The sequence below is a fragment of the Homo sapiens genome, chromosome 17 (assembly GCF_000001405.40).
Source record: "Homo sapiens chromosome 17, GRCh38.p14 Primary Assembly".
Lineage (NCBI taxonomy): Eukaryota > Metazoa > Chordata > Mammalia > Primates > Hominidae > Homo > Homo sapiens.
The window spans coordinates 53,040,648-53,047,640 of NC_000017.11; the positions used below are offsets into that span (position 1 = coordinate 53,040,648).

At 35.3% G+C, this 6,993-nt stretch overlaps 1 annotated feature.

The window, feature by feature from the left end:
- Nucleotides 5,426-5,926: an enhancer, noted in NCBI's record as "H3K27ac hESC enhancer chr17:51123434-51123934 (GRCh37/hg19 assembly coordinates)". NCBI's record gives its function as "activates a minimal SCP1, AML or CMV promoter by ChIP-STARR-seq in naive H9 embryonic stem cells {active_cell/tissue: H9 hESC(naive)}" and the evidence as "EXISTENCE:reporter gene assay evidence [ECO:0000049][PMID:30033119]".

Here is a 6,993-nt window from a genome sequence, read left to right on the forward strand (position 1 = left end):
ACGTAGTTGTGCATATTTATGGAGCGCATGTGATATTTGGATACAAGCTTACAATGTGTAATGATCAAATCAGTAAAATTGGAGTATCTGTCACCTCAAGCATTTATCATTTCTTTACGTTATGAACATTCCAATTACATGCTTTAAAAAAATGATTCATATAAATTTAGGTGTATAAGTGCAGTTTTGTTCATGGATATATTGCATAGTGGTGAAGTGTGTGGTTTTAGTGTAACCCTAACCAAACATTGTACATTGTACCTGTTAAGTAATTTCTCCTCCCTTACCCTCCCTTTCCTGGCTGCCTCCAAGTCTCCAAGTATCCAATGCCTATTATTCTACACTGTATCACTCTATGTCTATGTGTACATTATTCAGTTCCAACTTACAAGTAAGAACATGTGGTATTTAACTTTGATTTTCTGAGCTACTTCACTTAAGTTAATGACCTCCAGTCTGTAATTTTCTGTGTTACTTCGCTTAAGAGTGTGCCTCGAATTCCATGCATGTTACTGCAGAAGACCAGATTTCATTTTTTTTTACGACATTCCTTTTAATGGCTGTATTACACCACAATGGAATATTACTCAGCCATAAAAATAATGTGATAGATACAGAGATACATATATATATAAATTAGTACATATATCCTAGCTATATGTATATGGATGACTACATGAAGAAAATGGGAGATAGAGATATATATATCTAAATCTAGATATATATATGTGATATATATATAGATATGTCTATCTAGATACAGATATACATATATCAATATCTAGATATAGATATATGTATCTGTATCTATCTACAGACATATATCACATTTTCTTTATGCAGTCATCCTTTGATAAGCACTTAGTTTGATTTTATATCTTTGCTATTGTGAATAGTGCTGCTATAAACATATGAATGCAGGTATCCATTTTATGTAATGATTTCCTTTATTTTGGGTAGATATTCAGTTGTGGAATTGCTGGATTGAATGGTAGCTTTATTTTTAGTTCTTCGAGAAATCTCCATGCTGTTTTCTATTGATATTTCACTAATTTACATTCCCACCAACAAACTATGTGCATTCCCTTTTCTCCTTACCTTGCCAACATGTTTTTTTAACTTTATAATAATAGCCATTCTGACTGTGTAAGATGGTATCTCGTTGTTTTATTTTCATTTTTCTGATTAGTGAGGTTGAATATTTTTTCATATTTTTATTGGCCATTTGTATGTCTTCTTTTGAAAAATGTCTGTTCAAATCCTTTGCCCAGTTTTTAATGGTCTTGTATTTTTGTTGTTGAATTGTGTGAGTTTCTTGTAGAATCTGGATATTAGTCCCTTGTGGCATGCATAGTTTGCAGTTATTTTTTTCCATTCTAAAAGCTGTCTGTTCATTCTTCTGATAGTTCCTTTGTGCAAGATCTTTCCAGTTTAATTAAATTTTGTTTGTCTATTTTTGTTTTTGTTATTTGTGCTTTTGAAGTCTTAGTCATGAATTCTTTGCCTAGGCCAATGCCCAGAGGAGTTTTTCTTAGATATTCTTCTAGTATACAGTTTCATGTCTTGTTAACCCACCTTGAGTTTATTCTTGTATATGGTGAGAAATATAGGTCCAGCTTCATTCTTCTGCATATGGCAATCCAATTTTTTCATGTCGATTTATTGAATAGGGTGTCCTTTCCCCAGTGTGTGTTTTGTCAGCTTTGACAAATATAGGTTGACTGTAACCATGTGGCTTTATTTCTGAGTTCTTTATTCTGATCCATTGATCTATGTGTCTGTTTTTATACCAGTACCATGCTGTTTTGGTTACTATAGTCTTGTAGTATAATTTAAAGTCAGGTAATGTGATACCTCTAGCTTTGTTCATTTTTCTCAGGATTGCTTCCACTCTTAATTATTTTGAAATATACATTATTTTTAAGTAGAGTTGTCCCGTTGTGCTACTGAACACTACATCTTATTCTCTCTCTCAAATTGTATGTTTGTGCCTGTTATCTACCCTTTTTATCCTCTCTCCTCACTTTTGCCTTCTTTTGTATTGACTTGTATATTTTAAAACTTAAGTTGAAGGAGTTATTACTATATTCTGGATATTTTACTTTATACATGATGTTAATTTTTCTACCCACCTTATCATTTGCTTTTATAGTGTTTAATGTGTTTTTAATAGACAGGGGTCTGAATTTTCATGCAGTATTATTTATCAAGTATTTTTAATGGGTAGTACTATTGTATAGTAGATCATAAAGATGCTTTCCAGTTTTTTCCCCAGAATATTACTCTGTATGTCATATATGTGATATGTGTGTGTGTGTGTGTGTGTGCGCTTAACTTTTTATACTTAATATTATGGTCCATTCACAATTGATTTTTGTTTATAGAATGACTTTTACTTACAGAATGATTTTTATTTACAGAATGTCGTGAGTCATTCTTTTCCCATTGGAATATCCAAGTAACCCAGAAACTTGATTGAAAAGATGACTCATAAATTATCACATTGGAGATTCATTTTTCTCATCAGTTGAAGTAACAATTTTCAAAGCAAAATTTAAGCTACATTTAAAAAAAGCAATAAAATATTTATGTTTTATTTTAAATAAGCTGAGGATTATTTCTCTGCATAGTGTGCATTAGTTTAATTCATTTGACATGAAAAAAGTTCATTATGTTAAATTCTAGACGCTGTATGAGACAAACCATATTTAACAATTTACTGGTTCATAATATTGGTCAATTAAAGACTGACAAGTGTCCCTGAATGGGAAGCTTCAAAGAAATACTGCTCAGAAAACTTGTCTAAGGGCTGTCATTGGAATTATATGCCACTGTAGTTAGTGCAAGTTATGTAGTTTCTCCAGTTGTAGCACAAAATAAAACCCATCTTTAATCAGAGAAAATAATACTTAAATGTGCTCATGAATATTTATTTCAGTAATGGAAGAAGTATAATTTTTTACATGGTGAGTTTTCATAACAACAGTACATATTTTTCCTGAATTGAATTTTTTGCAAAATATTTGCTAACCACTATGGCACAATAAATAAAATTTCAATAAAAGGACTTATTGGAATAATATTTATATATACAATAAATAATCATTAACCAAATAATACTTTGTTTTTTATTTATTCATCTTATTTTTTTTTATTTTATGGAGCACATGTGCTCCATAAATATGCACAACTATATATTCATAATAATTTAAAATAAAAAGATTAAATGTATAAAAAATTGCATGTGATACTTTAAAAAAAGACAATATCTAAAGAGCACAAACACAAAAATGTTCACCTATATTAATTATCAAGAAAAACAAATGAAAACAATGATAGGGTTACCATTTTGTATTGAGTATAAGGTAAATCCTACTGGTGGTGACATCATATTTATTGAAGACAAATCGCATTATATATAAAAATCTAAAAATGATTCAATGCCTCTACTTCATCAGAAAATAATGGCTAAAATTTTAAAATAAGATAGAAAATACTAGGCAGTAGCAAGGATATAGAATATTTGCAACTTCATATATTGAGGGAGTGATTTAACGTGTGGTAGATATTTTAGAAGACTGGGAGTATTTACTAAAGCTGAACATAAGATTACATAGAAGCAAATTCACTCTTACATATATAACTAAGAGAAATAAATGTACATTCTCAATGAAGACATGTACAAGGATATGCATGGTTGTACTAATGATACAAGCCCAAAGAGCATAAATCCAAATGGCCATTAAAAAAATGGATAAAGTATTGGACTTCAACATGCAATATGTTTATGTATTATATATTTTTATGAATGAATGTATATTTTGCAATGAGAATTAACTATTGATACAATGAATAACATAATCTCACAGCATAGTGTTGAGCAAAAGAAGCCAAGAAAATAGAATATTTTATAGTAGATGATTTCATTTACACAAAACTCACATCTATCAGAGCTTTTCTGTCATATTATAAGTCAGGAGACTATTTACATTGAGAAGGATAATCAATGAGAAAAGGCACAGGGAGACTTCTGAAATACTGGTAATGTTCCACTTTTAATCAAGGTGTTGCTGATCTAGCAGTTTCATGTTATGAATATTTATTATGATGTTTACCTATGACATATATTTCTGTGTGTATGCTTTTATTCAGTAAAATGATCCTTTGTGGAAAAATGGATCCTATAATAAAGTGAGCTTTTATGTCTATATGCTCTCATTTCTGAACTTCAGTGGGATGCCAGTAAAAAAACTATAAAATTCTAGAAGAAGTAGGAATAATTACATCAATGGATCAGAAATATTAAGGAGTCTTTGAACAACAGAAATCAAACAGGATCAGATGTATGAATAAAATAAGCCAAAGAAAGTAACAGCTGTGATTGAATGACTAAAAATATGGTTGACACCGGGAGACAGAGGTTGCAGTGAGCCGAGATTGTGCCACTGCACTCCAGCCTGGGTGACAGAGAGAAACTCCATCTCAAAAACAAACAAACAAACAAACAAAAAAAGATATAATTCACGGGAGTTTAAGGTCCATATTCCACTAATTAACTCATCAAAATGATTACGTACTTTAACATATTAAGATGCAACAGCTAAGCCTATTCTCCTTCCTTTTCCACAACCACCAATTGTGTTAAGGAGTGCTGTTTGTCACCAAGCTAAAATAGAATGGGTGTTGACATTGGAGATGAAGTCTATCTACTGACCTTGAGAAGGGAGTATAATTTTTGACATCTAGATGAAAAGCTACCAACACAATATTTACCTTTCCCTCTAAAATCACCATAAGTTCTTTGTAAGTCATAAGCTTTTGTAAGTCACAGAGAAAATATGGAGGTAAATAGGATTTATGACCAAAAAAATTACAAAATGTATAATTATCAAAAATTTGAGGACAACAAACAAGTATAATGAAAAGAATAAATCTAGCATTTTTTACTCCAAAATGGTGGTTTAGAGGTTTTCAGCATGCTTCAGCCACTTGGAAATAGCAAGACAGTGCATAAAAATCAACTCTGTGAAATTGAATTCAAAAAGAAAAATAGGAATCCACTGGAATTAGGAAGTATATGCCAACCCCAGGGAGGAGGATGCAGCAAACAGCCCCTGTGACATTGTCTAGCTGATAAAATTGAGTGAAGCCCCAGTACCTGAGAGAGGAGACCCCCCTCCACCAACTCTATGACTCACCTTTCCACTGTGGATCCAAGCAACATACACCAAGGGAGAGCACTTTGTTTCTCCCAAGACCTAGAGCTAATATTGTAAGAGGCTTGAAGATGCTATGAGGGAAAGACATGGGAAAAATTTGCAGACATTTTCCCTGATCCGGGACTAAGAGCAGGGTGCCATTTTTAATTTGGGCACATGCAAAGTCAGCCCCTCTTTGGTGACCCGGCACTGTGGCTGCTCAGGCATTTCAGTCTTGGGTCAAATACTGGAGCACCTGCTCTGGAGTGGAGTAGAGGCCTCCACAGTGGGAACTCTGGAAAGCACCTCAGAGATAGATGCTGCAATTGTGCTTTCCCCTGTTGCAAGTGTAGGGCAGGGAGGAGAGCTGCTACAGATGCAGTTTCTCCTGGGCTGGAAGACTTGCAGCCAGGGCCAGCTTGGTGACCTATAACCCATCTATGTGTGCCAGTACAGTATGCCCTAGCCTTACTGCTGAGATCCTGCTACAGCAGGGCCCTCTCTACTCCACCCCCAGGCAGATTTCCAGGCATTTGGAGCATCCAATCACCTGAATCAGGAGCCTGATATGCCACACAGTTCTTGTGCAGAGATTCTGGTGCAGGAAGGCCTTCTCTGCTTCATGCCCAGGCAGATCACCAGGGATTCATAGCACCAGCTGACCTGGGTCAGCAGTCTGAGTAACTCCACCCCTCCTGTGTGTGTGTGTGGAGCAGGGAACCCTTATTGCTCCACATCCAGGTAGATCTCCAGGCATCTGGAGCGCGTGCTCTCCTGGATAAGGAGTTTAGGCTGCTCTCCTATCCCTGGAGAGAACCTGGGGCTAGAGAGGTTTCTCAGCTCCATGCCCAGGCAATGGTCTGGGCAATTGATGGCCACCCACTGGATTCTTCTTAGCTACTGGAGTTTGTGTCTGCCAATGGAGGACCTGTAGATGGACTTGCTTGATCTAGCTCTTGCCAGGATGGCCCCAGCTTCCCTGGGGCTGAGGAGGGAGCATTCCACAAATCAGCCGACTGACTGAGGCAACAGAGAGCTTTCAGTGAACAAGAATAAAGTATATACCCAGCCTCGTGGGTTGCAGCCAGCTCTTAATGATAACTGCCATCCACTGGCTGGTAGATCTTACTGTACAGCCTGATATAAAACCTGCCAACAGGAGGGCATATGGCTACAGAATCAAAGCCAAAAGACCCTACCCAGCATATGTTACAGTTGCATACCCTAGGGAAAACAGGAAAGAGAAAAGAAATGAAAAAGCACAATAATATTATAGCAAAAGAAGGAAAAAGAAAAATTCACCTCCATGAATCAATTGCAATAATTAAAAATGCCAGCATTTCCAGATGCAAAGAAACCAGTGCAAGAATTCAGGTACCATAAAAAGTCCAAATGTGGTGAAACTATCAAAGGTTCATGCTATCTCTCCAGCAGTGGTCACTAGTCAAAATGGAAACTCAGAAATGACAGAAAAAATATTAAAAACTGCAAAGCATGAATTGTAAGAAAGTTCAATGAGATCCAGAAAAGATTAAAAATTAATACAAAGACATTTCTTTTTTTTTTTTTTTTTTTTGAGATGAAGTCTCACTTTGTCACCCAGGCTGGAGTGCAGTGGCACAATCTCGGCTCACTGTAGTCTCTGCCTCCTGGGTTCCAGCAATTCTCCTGCCTTAACTCACTTAAGTACCTAGCCTACCAGACCCCATACATCAGCCACACAATAGAAACTACAAAGCAACCAGCTAACAACTTCATGACAGGATCAAAAGCTCACATATCAGTATTGAACTTG